General features: G+C 37.8%; 1 protein-coding gene across 5 annotated transcripts in view; it reads left to right on the forward strand.

Moving 5' to 3' along the window:
- MYO16 (myosin XVI) overlaps window positions 1-15,488 on the forward strand; it is a 712,290-nt gene that overhangs the window by 372,186 nt on the left and 324,616 nt on the right. For all 5 annotated transcript variants that reach the window (XM_011521062.2, XM_047430183.1, NM_015011.3 and 2 more), the window contains exon 13: window positions 15,158-15,285. In XM_011521062.2, coding sequence (XP_011519364.1) covers window positions 15,158-15,285 — 128 coding nt within the window. The remainder of the gene's footprint in view (window positions 1-15,157; window positions 15,286-15,488) is intronic.

A 15,488-nucleotide genomic window follows, 5' to 3' on the forward strand; every position in this document is an offset into this window, starting at 1 on the left:
AATCTTGCAGACTATCTTTCTCTGTACCTGGCTGCTTCCTTTCAATATTAGGGAAGGTAGATTCACCCATGTTTTTGTGTGTAGCAATACAATAAGTACAATAGGTTATTGTATTTTGTATGGCTGTATAAAATTTCCTTTTGTGGATATATGGCAGTTTAATTAACTATTGACAGAGATTTTGTCTTTTGAAGCAAGAATATTACTGCTATGAACATCCTCACAATTTTTTTTTGATAACATATGTATTTCTTTTGTTGGAAAGAGTGGAATTGGTACATCAAAGTGTATACATACAATCAGTTTTGATAAATATCGACAATTTTCTGCGTGGTTGTACTAAGGTATATCTACAACTTAATACAGAAATTCTAGTTGCTTCTCTTCCTTGGTCATATTTCATTTGTTTACTTATCATTCTACTGGGTATATATAGTGGAATCTTATTGCTCTAATTTGTGTTTCTCTGACAGACAATGAGATTAACCACATTTTCACATAATTACTGTACAGTTATATCCTGTTTCGTGATGCGTGTATTTCAGGATTTTATCCTGCTTAAAAATTAAAAACTTTAAAATTGGTTCATCTACCTTTTTTATTGACTTGAAAGATCTTTAAGCATTCTGGATTCTCAATGCATATTGAAAACATCTTGCAAGAAGTAGGGGTCAAGATTCATTTTTAAAAAATGTATATTAACCTGAAACCGTACTGTTTATTAAAAAGACCATCTTTCAGCTGGGCTCGGTGGCTCACGCCTGTAATCTCAGCACTTTGAGAAGCCAAGGCAGGTGGATCATGAGGTCAGGAGTTCAAGACCAGCCTGGCCAAGAAGATGAAACCCCATCTCTACTAAAAATACAAAAATTAGCCGAGCATGGTGGCAGGTGACGTAAACCCAGCTACTTGGGAGGCTGAGGCAGGAGAATCGCTTGAACCCGGGTGGCAGAGGTTGCAGTGAGCCGAGATCGTGCCACTGCACTCCAGGCTGGGCAACAGAGTGAGACTCTGTCAAAAAAAAAAAAAAAATCCTTTCTCTGGGACATTATGTTGGCACTTTTGCATAAAACTAGTAACTATACATAAATGGATATAGAATTTCCATTCAGTTTGATTGGTCTGTTAAAATACATTTTTATGCCTCGTACTCTTAAGTCATCCACCTTTGGTCTTCAAATTTGCCCTAGCAATTAATTACTGGCCTTTTCCTTTAAGGTTTAGAATCAGCTTGTCAATTTTGGGGCGCTGAGGGGACTCCCCCTAGGATTTTGAATTTGATTGCATTATATTTACAGTTCAATTTAGAAACAGACAAAAAATGTTAGTAGTACTGAGTCTTTTAACTATATTCATTTATTAAGGTCTTTAAAATGTGAAATTCCTCTCAGTGTATCATCCCGTGTGCTCTTCTGGAGGATATATTGCATAGTGTTCATTAAATGTTTTTAAATGCTGTTATAAATAATCATTTAAAAATGTTATTTTCCACTGGTGTGTTCTCCATGTATGTATAAAAACAGTTTAAAAAATCTTACCTTGGCCGGGCGCGGTGGCTCACTCCTGTAATCCCAGCACTTTGGGAGGCCGAGGCGGGCGAATCACGAGGTCAGGAGATCGAGACCATCCTGGCTAACACGATGAAACCCCGTCTCTACTAAAAATACAAAAAAAAAAAAGTTAGCCGGGCGTCGTGGCGGGCGTCTGTAGTCCCAGCTACTCGGGAGGCTGAGGCAGCAGAATGGCGTGAACCCGGGAGGCGGAGGTTGCAGTGAGCCGAGATCGTGCCACTGCACTCCAGCCTGGGCGACAGAGCGAGACTCCGTTTCTAAAAAAAAAAAAAAAAAAAAAAAAAAAAAGAAACCACACATAAAAAATCTTACCTTAAACTAGCAAGTTTGTAAAATTTATTAGCTATAAAATTATCTAGTGTGTTTTAAAAATACTCTGTGTACACAATCTTATTGCCTGAAACAATAATAATTTTCTTTCTTTCTTTAAAATCCTATTATTAATCTGTTCTTATGTTATTGGATTGGATCACCAGAATAATGTCAGATACTATTAATAATTTCATTTAAAAATATATATATATTTCTTATCTCAGGAGAAATCTTTAGTAATTAAACCTTAAGAATAAAAATCATTATAAATTTTACATAGATACCAGTTATCAGATTAAGGAAATTTCATTTTATTGCTGTTTTAAGAAGTCTTTTTCATAGAAAACGTATTGAATTTTATCAAATGTAAGTATTTTTTCTGTACCAATTGTTGATATGAATATTTTTCTCCTTTATTTTGTTTGTGAATTATAATTCCTGATTTTGAAATATTAAACCTACCTTACATTTTGATGTTTTATCCTTTTCTTTATATTACTGACGTCTATTAAATAATATTTTGCTGAGGGCATCTATGTTCATGAAAAAGATAAGCCTCCAATTTTTCTTTTTTTTATTAAAAAAATCTTCTATGTCAAAATTATGCTAGTTTCATAAAGAGAATTGGAAGGTGTACTCTGTTTTCTAGTCTCTGAAAGAGTTTGTAAATTTGGTGGTGTTTCTCTCTTAAATGTTTGGAAGAATTCACAACTGAAACCATTAAGGCCTGGTATTTTCTTTGCAAGAAGGTTTTAGTTCTGGATTTAATTTCTTTGACATACATAGGACAGTTCATATTCTTTCTGTGCTAGTTTTTAATGATTGCATTTTTAAAAAATTATGTTATATTTAATCTTCAAAAGTTTTTGGCATAGAATTATTCATAGTTCTATTTATCTTTTTAAAATTTGTAGAATTTTGAGTGCCTTCTTTTTATTCCATATGTTGGTAATTTGTGACTTTTCTGAGTTTTTAAAATTTCCTTCTTTCTAATTTATTTGGGTATAATTTGATTATTGTTTATGTTGTATAGATATATCCTTGATTTCCTGCCTTTCCTAAAATAAGTATTTGGGGGTTTTAAATTTTACTTTAAATGTAGCTTTACTGAATTCTACATGTTTGCTATTTTATAAATTCATTATCAATTAGTTTAAGGTATTATCTGTTTCTATTTGTGATTTCTTTCTATAAAAAATATATATGTATATATGTAGAAAGTCTGTAGAAATATAAACCGAATTAATCTTCGTTTTCTACTTTTGTTTCTCTTTGACCACAGTCTGGATAATTGCTTGGCCATATTTTAAATTCTCTTTTCTGCTGTTTTGAATCTGCTGATAAAATCATTCCTTAAAATGCAGATGTCTGTTATATGATTTTTTTCAATGCTAACATTTTTATTTTAAACTCTTAGGGTTTCCAGTTTTCTGGTGAAATTCTTCGTCTTCATCATGCCACTTATTTTCTTGAACATGTCATTTTTAATCCTGTGTCTTATGACTCTAATATTGAGGTCTGTTTCTACTATGTGACTTTGTGTGTGTGTGTGTGTGTGTGTGTGTGTGTGTGTGTGTGTCTGTGTGTTGGTTTTACATATATGGATATATTTACTGACATCCACGGAGATTTTTGATGGAGTATTGAACTTTCCATATAAAAAAACCATAGGGCCCAGGAAGACATTATCTTCCTTCCAAGAAGATTTGACTTTTCCTCCTAGCAGGCACATAAGTTGTAGACAAACCGCCTTGACCTTGTGAAGTCTCGTTTAATTTTTTTATTTGCTCCCTTCAAAAAGTTGAGCCCCCTTACGGGTCTCAGGTGGAAAGTTGGGCTGATATTCATTTGGCTTTCCTCTGTTTCTGAACCCTGAACTTGGATTTTTGTCTCCCCAGTACTGTGTGAGGCTGCTCAAATCTCTGCTGAGTGTGAGACACTTAGGGTGACTTTCTGTGATGCTGCTGAGAGACACTCAGCACAGCGGCACTGTGTGCTGGGAGGAGGGGATGGAAAAGATCCCGTGTGGCCCGGTGCATCCTGATTTTCTTCAAGATCTTAGCTCCCTAAGACATTGCTGCTTTGGTGATTTTACTATCCCTGCCATTAGATGCTTGATTTGTATTTTATCCAGTCTTTGTAATTGTTCATGGTTAGGAGAATTTGACTGATACTAGCTGCTTCATTACAGCTATAGGGTAAAGGAGACTACATCTGTTTTTATTGCATTGGTGTCAGAAGATTATTTGCCCTCAGATACCTAGATTAGTTTGGCATTTCATGCCTCTAATTTTTTAATTCTGTATGCACCAAGGGGTGGGAGGGGAAAGAGAGAGAGAAACGCACCCAATTTAAAGTTACTATTGATAATATTATTTCTGGCTTATGTTTATGGTAACAGTTGATTGTAGAGTTAACAAGAATTAACAGTGAGACAAAAGTCAGCTTTGAATAATTGAATGAAACGTTAAAAAATGACTCTTATTTGGATGCTTCTATGGATCTAGAGGTAAAGTTTTGAGTATTAGCCAAACTTTAACATAATATTTTTTATAGTATGACACAGTTTGTCATACTATATTGTATCTTGTGATGGGAAAAAAACTGTTAACTTGTGGTATGTTTGTTTTTAAAGTACTGACACTATAGTAGTATTAGGGCTTCAGATAATACGTTGTATTTGCAGTTTTTTCAGAAATACACATTCATAGAGAAAAGGAGAAACACATTAAGAGACATATTTGTTTATTAATGTAAGAATAAGATACAATACATTGAGATCATTACCAGAATAGTTTATTAAAACTGAAAATGGCTAATGCAACTTATAATTTATGTAATTATATAAATAAAATCTATATATGTTTCAATATATATGAATTAAGTATTTAATATATAAGTATTATGATTTTATAAAATGAATTTGCATATGTATATATACACACACACACCACCTTTTATATTCATCATTTCTAAATGTCATAAAATAAAAATGGAAAATAAATACAAAAAATATATCAGGTAAAAGATGCACTGATATAAAGCTTACAATAAAATTACCTGCTTTTTATAGGTCATGAGAAAAGGTGAAAGTGTCTAGTCCTTCTGGACTTGACATCCATTATGTAGAATCAAATAGTTTGTGCTCTCCTTGCCTACAGGTAACAACCCATAAAATTGTAGATATTAGGTTGCTGCAAGGACATACATTTTACATTGAATTAGTGGTTATTCCCTGTAGCAATATTAGTGCCTAGTAAATAATATCAAGTAGTCACCTATCAGATATTCATTAAAACGATCTTGTTGTCCTCAGGCCACACAACAAAAATTTATTTCTTTTTGTTTCTAGTTATTATCATTGTATTATGTCTGTTGTTTTAAATGACAAATTTTGTTCAAATATTTGGGTTTCTTCCCATGTCAATTACTTTACAAGAAAAAAATAAAACATTAAATATGATTATATCTGTAAAGATTATAAAGACGAGGAGAATGACTTCTCCATTTCATATTTAAAAAGAAATTCACATATAACATCTGCATTTTAGTTTTATTTCATTATCATTAACTCTGTTATATTAAGCCTTTGCATAACATTCATTTTTATTTCTAGCAAGTTATTAATCATGGACGGAGAACACTCTTGAGGCAAACTTCATTTCGAGACTGATGTCTACACAAGGCGGCAGGCAGCCCTCCCAGTTAGATTGCTTGCTGCCACAGCAGTGCTGATCTGACACTAACAACCACCACTGCCGAGATGCGGGTCACAGCGGGCGAGTCAGCAGGCCGTTCCACCAACCGGGACAGGGTCCATGCCAACCACCAGGACAGGGTCCAGGCCAACCAACCAGGACAGGGTCCATGCCAACCAACCAGGACAGGGTCCATGCCAACCAACAGGACAGGGTCCATGCCAACCAACCAGGACAGGGCCCATGCCAACCACCAGGACAGGGTCCATCCCAACCAACCAGGACAGGGTCCATGCCAACCAACCAGGACAGGGTCCATGCCAACCAACCAGGACAGGGTCCATGATTGTGCTGCCTATTTATGTTGGAGACACGTAATATCATTCATTTTAAACATGTTACATGTAGGGGAGAAAGAGAAAATAGAAAGCCAGATGTTCCTGCATGGGCTTTACAAAAAAGCAACCTTAAAATCAGAAACAAAAATGCATCATCAAGCCAACAAACATCTGTTGACTCTATAAGGAAATACATTGCCTTAGGTACTTACAGTGTCCTCATCCTTGAGCACTGTGTAGACATGCTAGAGACAAAACACAAATAACAATGAAAAAATCACATACTTCACTTCTAGCTGAGAACAACAATTAAATAGCTGTATTGAGGGTGTGTAACCCTAATTGGCAAGTCAAGAGGTTAGAAGGGAGTAAATCCTATCAGGTTTTTTTTTAAAAAGCATCACAATAAAAAAAGAAATGTGATCGGGGCAAATCTTAAAAAATTAGTAAGATTCTGATGAGCAGAAGAATGGACTAGAGCCACATTATGGGGTTTAAAAAATATATAGGACTATTTAGAGAAATACGCCATGCAATTTGATATGAGCAAGAAGTTAAAAAAATTATAATATTTGAAATTCTAGGAAATGAAAACAGCTGCCATTGTTTAGTGCTTATTACATGGCAGAACTGCCTCAAATGGCTTTACATTTATTGTCACATCTCAAAAGGCAAGCAAATCAGTATAAGAATTGTTATTTCTATTCTGCAGTTGAATAAGCTGAGACTTGAGGTTAAACAGATTTTCTAAAGTCTTCCCATGAGTGGCAGAGCTAGCATTAAAGTCCAGGTCATGCAGCTCCAGAGCGAATGCTTGGCAGGCTTCTCTCAGCAGCACAAGTGCTGCGCCCAGAGGCAGACAGTTTCATCATCATCATTATTATTATTATTATTATTATTATTATTATTATTATTATATGTGATCTTTTGTAAACACAAACACATACTTTCTCAAAACATGTCACCTATACATAGGTATACAGTTCACAAATAGGACACCTACCCAGGCCTACAGAGTGAGATGTTCATAGCATAGTGCGAAACCAGCAGCCCAGGGCACTTGGAGCCTCTGGCATCTGGGAGGTTCCACAAAGTTTCTAGGCTCGCCAGAGATGGAGGCCAGTGGCTCAGTGGCTGTCTCATAAGCTGTGGAAGCATTGGTGGCTTTAGAAATTAACATGGCAGGATTCTGCAATCTGCTAGTGGTTTATGGAGAAATATAATGACCAGTGAAGAAAAGGAGGGACTTTATCCATTAAGAAGGAAGGAACCTGTTATCTGGAACTAGAGTCCATCTAAGATTAGCAAGACTGAGTGCTTGTCATCTCACCTATGAGCTAAAATGGAGTGTTTAAAATATCCCCTGACCAAGAATCCTCTTGTTTCAATTGATACAAATAAGGAAAGAAGACAGTGAAGTGAAGAGAAAAGACAGGTGGGGAAGGAAGTGTCTGGCCCTGATGATATTCGCTGGACCCAATGAGAAAGTGCAATTTTAACTATGAGAAGGGTAACCAATAAAAAAGTTAGATGGCTTGTCAGTCACTCAGAAAACAGGGACTGCATAAGTGGAAATCCTCAAAGTTTTATAGAATTACACTGTCATTATTATTTCCATAATTATATTATGTATAAAGCATAGAATTGGCATCAGGTAATGTGTTGCCAGGTGGTAGTAATGGACTATTCCACAACATGAACTGTAACACTGCATGGGAAAGAGACTTACAAGAAAGGGGAGCTGAGAGAGGTTATGAGTTTATCAGGAAATAACTTTCTTTAGACACTCAAGGCTCATCACCCACATCTACTCTCTAGTAAAATTTGGCATAAAGAGAATATCTAAGCCCAAATAGATTTAAATAAATAAAATTTAAAAACCCTAGCCAGCTGTGGCCTAGGGTTTTTAAATTGAAAACCCTAGCCACCTGTAGTCCTAGCTACTTGGGAGGTTAAGGCAGGAGGATCGCTTGACCCCAGGGGGTGGAGTCTGCAGTGATCTGTACTTGGGCCACTGCACTCCAGCCTGGGCAGCTGAGCGAGACCCTGTCTCAAAAAAATGAAAACGAAAAAATGTTAGAGAAATGAATCCCATGTACACACAGATGGATGCATAATCCAGGCTGTCTCTTGTGTCTGTTGAACATCTAATGAAATTCTCATTTACAAAATAGAGAGTTGAAAAACATTTTGTCACATGAGAGTCTAAGTCTATGTTGGACTTGGGGAGGAGTGAAACAGTGTTAGTACAAGTTTTCAAACAAGAACAGAAATTAGATCTGCTGGACAAGCTGGACTAAAACTCCTCAGTTTTATGAATTATAATGTGTATATCACTATCATTTAATTATTCTTAATATTCATTGCAACTTCTGGAATAATTAAAAATGAAAAAAGTTCAAGCAGAATGCAACAGACAGTTGTGTGCCCACCACCCATATTGGTTTCATATCTCTTTTAAAAACATTTAAAATTAAAAGTGCTGTATTTTTTTTTCACATGTACTTTTGTGATTGGGATGCATCTTTAAGGGTATGGTAAGAAAACACTGTGTCCTAATTTAACTGTAACATTTATTTTCTGAGTGGTACAAAAAATAACAGTATGTTTTAATTATATGATGTCTTAGATAGATGACATATTGTTCTATAAACATAGGGTAAGTACCACTTCAACTTCAACCTACTTATTTTCGTAAGCAGTGATAATGGTTATCTTGAAGTTATCCTTCCATCCAGTGTTTTATATGTTTACTATATACATGAACACATATATACATTCAAAAAGTGGGTATACCACTATTTTTTATATTTTAATTAACTCATAACATAGTAACTATATTCTCTCTCTTTTTTTTTTTTTTTGAGATGAGATCTTAGTCTATTGCCCAGGCTGGAGTGCAGTGGCACAATCTTGGCTCACTGCAACCTCTGCCTCCCAGGTTCAAGCGATTCTCCTGCCTCAGCCTCCCAAGTAGCTGATAGTACAGGCGTGTGCCACCACACCCACCTAATTTTTTATAGTTTTAGTAGAGATGGGGTTTTCCCAAGTTAGCCGGGATGGTCTCAATCTCCTGACCTCATGATCTGCTCACCTCAGTCCCCCAAAGTGCTGGGATTACAGGCGTGAGTCACCGCGCCCAGCCATTAACTGTATTCTTTTACAAAAAAGCTGTTGATCAGCCCTCACGCTTTCAAAAATTTTCCATCTTGAAAATTTGAGACCTAATTTATTCTAAAGTCCCTCTAGAATTTTCTTGTAACGACACACAACCGGTTATATTTGTCTATTAATCTTTATTATAGACTTTTAACTTATTTCTGTATTTTCTGCTCTTACAAAGAGTCCTAAGAATTGTTTTATAAATGCTCTTTTTGCTCATGTTTGAGAGTTTCAACAGAGATATTCCCAGTTGAACATGAATCTTCAAATTTAGAAGATATTGCCAGATGATTCTTCCAATTAGTTAAAACTACAAGACTCAGTAGTATAGACTTGTTTTCCCAGCCCAAGAGACAACTTCATTTGGAAATCAAGCTCTGCCACCAACTAGCCCTGTCCCCTTGGGCCTGTCACTGACTTCTGTTGGCACCAATTCTCTTGCCTGTAAACATAGAAATACTTCTCTGACTCCAGTCATAGGTTCTGGAGGACTGCATGAGTGAGTGCCTGTGAGGTGCTGAGGACAGCACCATGCACAGAGTGCCTGTAAGCTATTATTGTCATTATGACTAAACTATGATTAATTCTGCTAGGATTTTGTGTGTAATATAGCATCTTATAGTTTGAAATAGCACGAGAGAGCTTTCCAACCTTTCTCATATTTATTTTCCATCTTTTTAGTTTATATTTTTGCCCGAATTTGTATTATAGTTCCATTTTTAAATTGATTTGTAGGAATATGTTTTAAATTGCTGCTGATCTATTGATTACATGCACAGCTTATACACTTCTCTGTCTTTGCTTATTTTCTATTATTATATGGTTGACCAGTGCTTGTTAAATTTAATGTAGTAAGATCGCTCCATCATTCTCATTATAATTTATATTTTTGAATCCTATTTCCTTGTTTACATACAAATCATGAGAGTACCATTCTATATGCTTGTCTAAATGCTTTAAACTTTGCTGCTCATATCTGGGATTTAAATTCACTTGTAAGTAATTTTTAAACATGCTACAGAATAGAGATCAACACTTGTTTTCTTTACCTAAATAGATGATTAGTCCTCTCAGCAGCACCCTTTACCACTGATAGGTGGTGCAGCCTGGTTGGTCATACACTGTATCTTTGATAAGGACAGGAGGCAGGGAGACACTGGGTAGAAGAGAGCAGTTCCCCGGCAAAGGCCCCACCCTCAAGCCTGGTAACCCACAGCCCTAAATGGGAACAGATATTCCTGTTTTCGTGCCAAAAAGTTGCCTTTGGCCCACCATGACCCCATCCTGTACCCCCAAACACCAGACTCCACAAGCAGATGAACAGAAGAGCAGAAGAGTGGCAGAGAAGGAGAGAAGAGAAGGAGCATCTGAATGTTGAGAGGAGTTCAGCTAGGGATGGTTGGAGAGGAGATAGGCCACTGGATGGCCAAACTCCAGGGAAGATCATCTTCCCACTCTATCCCCTTTCCAGCTCCCCATCCATCCCACTGAGAGCCACCTCCACCACTCAATAAAACCCCTGCATTCACCATCCTTCAAGTCCGTGTGTGATCTGATTTTTCCTGGATGCCAGACAAGAGCTTAGGATACAGAAAGCTGTCACACTGGCCCTCTGCCCTTGCAAAAAAGGCAGAAGGTCCATTGAACTGTTTAACACTTAAGCTGTCCATGGACAGCAAAGCTAAAAGAGTACACTGTAACACATGCCCACTTGGGCTTCAGAAGTTGCAGGCACCCACCCCTAGACGCTACTATGGGGCCAAAGCCCAAAGGTGCTGGCCCAGGCTCCTGTACCTGCCCATCTGCATGCTCCCCCTCCCATAAGGGGTTTGAGCACACACAGTGGCCAAACAGATGAGCCACACCCCGTCACACATCCTGCGAGCAGGATTAGGGAACTCTCCCATTTCATCTTCACCAACATGTAGGGTTGCACTGAATTATCTAGTCTGTTTCAAGTGATCTGTGATCCATTTATCTAGTCTTTGCACCAGCACCACACTGTGTGATGACTTCAGTTTTTTGTAGTTTTGGTTGAGGTGTAATGTTTGTAGGAAAGTGCTTATGTTGCTAAGCATGCAGGTGGGTGGTACTCAGCTCCAGAACATTATCAACACTCCAGAAGTCCCTTAAACATTAGCACTTCCCCTGCTACTGCCAATTTGACTTCTAACAGCAAGGATTGGTTACCTGTGTTTGTACTTGATGTAAGTGAAGACATACAGTGTGTTCTTTTATGTATCTCACACTCAACATTGTGAGATTCATCCAGTTAACTCTCATTGTGGATCATGTATTCTACTTTAAAAATTATTTTTGCTATAATTTTAAATGTGTGTAAAATGTGTAGATAAATTGTACAGGCAACTTTTAACATCAACCTTTTTTTTATTATTATACTTTAAGTTCTAGGGTACATGTGCACAATGTGCAGGTTTATTACATATGTATATATGTGCCATGTTGGTGTGCTGCACCCGTTAATTCATCATTTACATTAGGTATATCTCCTAATGCTATCCCTCCCCACTCCCCCAACCCCAGACAGGCCCCAGTGTGTGATGTTCCCCACCCTGTGTCCAAGCGTTCTCACTGTTCAATTCCCACCTATGAGTGAGAACATGAGGTGTTTGGTTTTCTGTCCTTGCAATAGTTTGCTCAGAATGATGGTTTCCAGCTTCATCTATGTCCCTACAAAGGACATGAACTCATCCTTTTTTATGGCTGCATAGTATTCCATGGTGTGTATGTGCCACATTTTCTTAATTCAGTCTATCATTGATGGACATTTGGGTTGATTCCAAGTCTTTGCCATTGTGAGTAGTGCCGCAATAAACATACATGTGCACGTAACTTTATAGCAGTATGATTTATAATCCTTTGGGTATATGCCCAGTAATGGGATGGCTGGGTCAAATGGTATTTCTAGTTCTAGATCCTTGTGGAATGGCCACACTGTCTTCCACAATGGTTGAACTAGTTTACAGTCCCACAAACAGTGTAAAAGTGTTCCTATTTCTCCACATCCTCTCCAGCACCTGTTGTTTCCTGACTTTTTAATGATCGCCATTCTAACTGGTGTGAGATGGTATCTCATTGCGGTTTTGATTTGCATTTCTCTGATGGCCAGTGATGATGAGCATTTGTTCATGTGTCTGTTGGCTGCATAAATGTCTTCTTTTGGGAAGTGTCTGTTCATATCCTTTGGCCACTTTTTGATGGGGTTATTTGATTTTTTCTTGTAAATTTGTTTGAATTCTTTGTAGATTCTGGATATTAGCCCTTTGTCAGTTGGGTAGATTGCAAAAATTTTCTCCCATTCTGTAGGTTGCCTGTTCACTCTGATGGTAGTTTCTTTTGCTGTGCAGAAGCTCTTTAGTTTAATTAGATCCCATTTGTCAATTTTGACTTTTGTTGCCATTGCTTTTGGTGTTTTAGTCATGAAGTCTTTGCCCATGCCTATGACCTAAATGGTATTGCCTAGGTTTTCTTCTAGGGTTTTTATGGTTTTAGGTCTAACATTTAAGTCTTTAATCCATCTGGAATTAATTTTTGTATAAGGTGTAAGGAAGGGATCCAGTTTCAGCTTTCTACATATGGCTAGCCAGTTTTCCCAGCACCATTTATTAAATAGGGAATCCTTTCCCCATTTCTTGTTTTTGTCAGGTTTGTCAAAGATCAGATGGTTGTAGATGTGTGGTATTATTTCCGGGGGCTCTATTCTGTTCCATTGGTCTATATCTCTGTTTTGGGACCAGTACCATGCTGTTTTGGTTACTGTAGCCTTGTAGTATAGTTTGAAGTCAGGTAGCATGATGCCTCCCGCTTTGTTCTTTTGGTTTAGGATTGTCTTGGCAATGTAGGCTCTTTCTTGGTTCCATATGAACTTTAAAGTAGTTTTTTCCAATTCTGTGAAGAAAGTCATTGGTAGCTTGATGAAGATGGCATTGAATCTATAAATTACCTTGGGCATGGAGTTTGAGATCTGAGAACGGACAGACTGACTCCCCAAGTGGGTCCCTGACCCCTGAGTAGCCTAATTGGGAGACACCTCCCAGTAGCGGATGACTGACACGTCATACAGCCAGGTGTCCCTCTGAGACGAAGCTTCCAGAGGAAGGATCAGGCAGCAACATTTGCCATTCTGTAATATTTGCTTTTCTGCAGCCTCTGCTGGTGATATCCAGGCAAACAGGGTCTGGAGTGGACCTCCAGCAAATTTCAACAGACCTGCAGCTGAGGGTCCTGACTGTTAGAAGGAAACTAACAAACAGAAAGGACATCCACACCAAAACCCCATCTGTACATCACTATCATCAATGACCAAAGGTAGATAAAACCACCAAGATGGGGAGAAACCAGAGCAGAAAAGCTGAAAATTCTAAAAATCAGAGCGCTTCTTCTCTTCCAAAGGAACGCAGCTCCTCGCCAGCAATGGAACAAAGCTGGATGGAGAATGACTTTGACGAGTTGAGAGAAGAAGGCTTCAGATGATAGGTAATAACAAACTTCTCCGAGCTAAAGGAGGATGTTGGAACCCATTGCAAAGAAGCTAAAAACCTCGAAAAAAGATTAGACAAATGGCTAACCAGAATAAAAAGCATAGACAAGGTCTTAAATGACCTGATGGAGCTGAAAACCATGGCACGAGAACTACGTGACTCATGCACAAGCTTCAGTAGCCGATTTGATCAAGTGGAAGAAAGGGTATCAGTGATTGAAGATCAAATGAATGAAATGAAGTGAGAAGAGAAGTTTAGAGAAAAAAGAGTAAAAAGAAATGAACAAAGCCTCCAAGAAATATGGGACTATGTGAAAAGACCAAATCTATGTCTGACTGGTGTACCTGAAAGTGACGAGGAGAATGGAACCAAGTTGGAAAACACTGTTCAGGATATTATCCAGGAGAACTTCCCCAACATAGCGAGTCAGGCCAACATTCAAATTCTGGAAATACAAAGAATGCCACAAAGATACTCCTTGAGAAGAGCAACTCCAAGACACATAATTGTCAGATTCACCAAAGTTGAAATGAAGGAAAAACTGTAAAGGGCAGCCAGAGAGAAAGGTCAGTTTGCCCACAAAGAGAAGCCCATCAGACTAATAGCAGATCCCTGAGCATCAAGCATTTTAAAATACTTTTCTGGCATGTGGTCCCATCAACCTTAAATATGTTTACTGTGTATTTAAACAAAGGTATTCTCCTGTGTAACCTCCCTACAGTCATCAAAATGGGAAAATTATTACTGATGCACTGGTGTCACTGAATCAAGAGACCTCGTTCAGGATTTCCCATTGTCTCAGTAATGCCCATAGAGCTAGAGATTCAGGCCAGCGCTGCACGTTGCATTTTGAACCACCATGCCCTTGACTCTCCTTCAGTATGGACCAGTTCTGCAGTCTTCTTTTGACTTTTCTGACCTTGACATCTTTGAAGATACAGGCCAGTTATTTTGTACAATAAAAATAACTTTGATTTCTTCACAACTAAGAAGTCTTCCTACTCTTGAGTTTTTATTCTAAAGTAATAAAATTTACTAGAAATTTAAAAGGACTAAAACTACTGGAAATGAATCATTATGGCAATAATTATAAATCACCGTTTCTCTAAAATTAATTAATTTTTGTTTTTCTGAGAAATTTGTAAACTTATATGCATTTCAGCTGCAACTGCCTCTCACATTCAAGTTTAAAACCTTGGCTATCTTATGGTATTGAAATTAAATACTGCTGAGAGAAATTGTATTTGTTGTAAATTACCACAGTTTCAGCTTACTGCACAGATATCTATTAAAGAACATATTTTGTGAGTTGCTCTTCTTAAAGACAGCAGAATAATTAAAGCCTGTGGACCAAGTAATGAAGGATAAAGTATAAGCCTCCATTTTGTCATTATGCATGCTGAAAATGTGCTGAGAAGGGTGTAATTTTACAAATGTTTTTACATACCAATGAGATTCAGAATTAGGGATTCATTCACTTCTGTATCTTGGACAGAAGTCACTCTCATTATGGGATGAGGAATACTGGCGCCTTTTCACTGAGGTTTTCCCCTTGCTGCTGCCCTGTTTTCCAGGTGTCCCAGCTGTATTTCAGCTCCTCAGGGAAGCTGTGTTCCTCGCTGCCTCCTCACCTCTTCTCCTGTGTGGAGAGAGCCTTTCACCAGCTCTTCCGGGAACAGCGGCCTCAGTGTTTCATCCTCAGGTGAGTCCTCCTCAACCTTGTCTGCCAGGCTCAGGTTTGCCACGGGGCTTGGCAGTAAAGATGTACTCATTTCCTATGGTTTACCTTTATTTACTTTCTCAGCACCTTGAGGTCCAGTATATCTTTGCAATAAGTACATTTGACTCGTTACAAAGGAGAAACATCTTGGCTGTTAGGAGTAGCCCCAAGTGTAGCTGGATCAA

The sequence above is a fragment of the Homo sapiens genome, chromosome 13, assembly GCF_000001405.40.
Source record: "Homo sapiens chromosome 13, GRCh38.p14 Primary Assembly".
Lineage (NCBI taxonomy): Eukaryota > Metazoa > Chordata > Mammalia > Primates > Hominidae > Homo > Homo sapiens.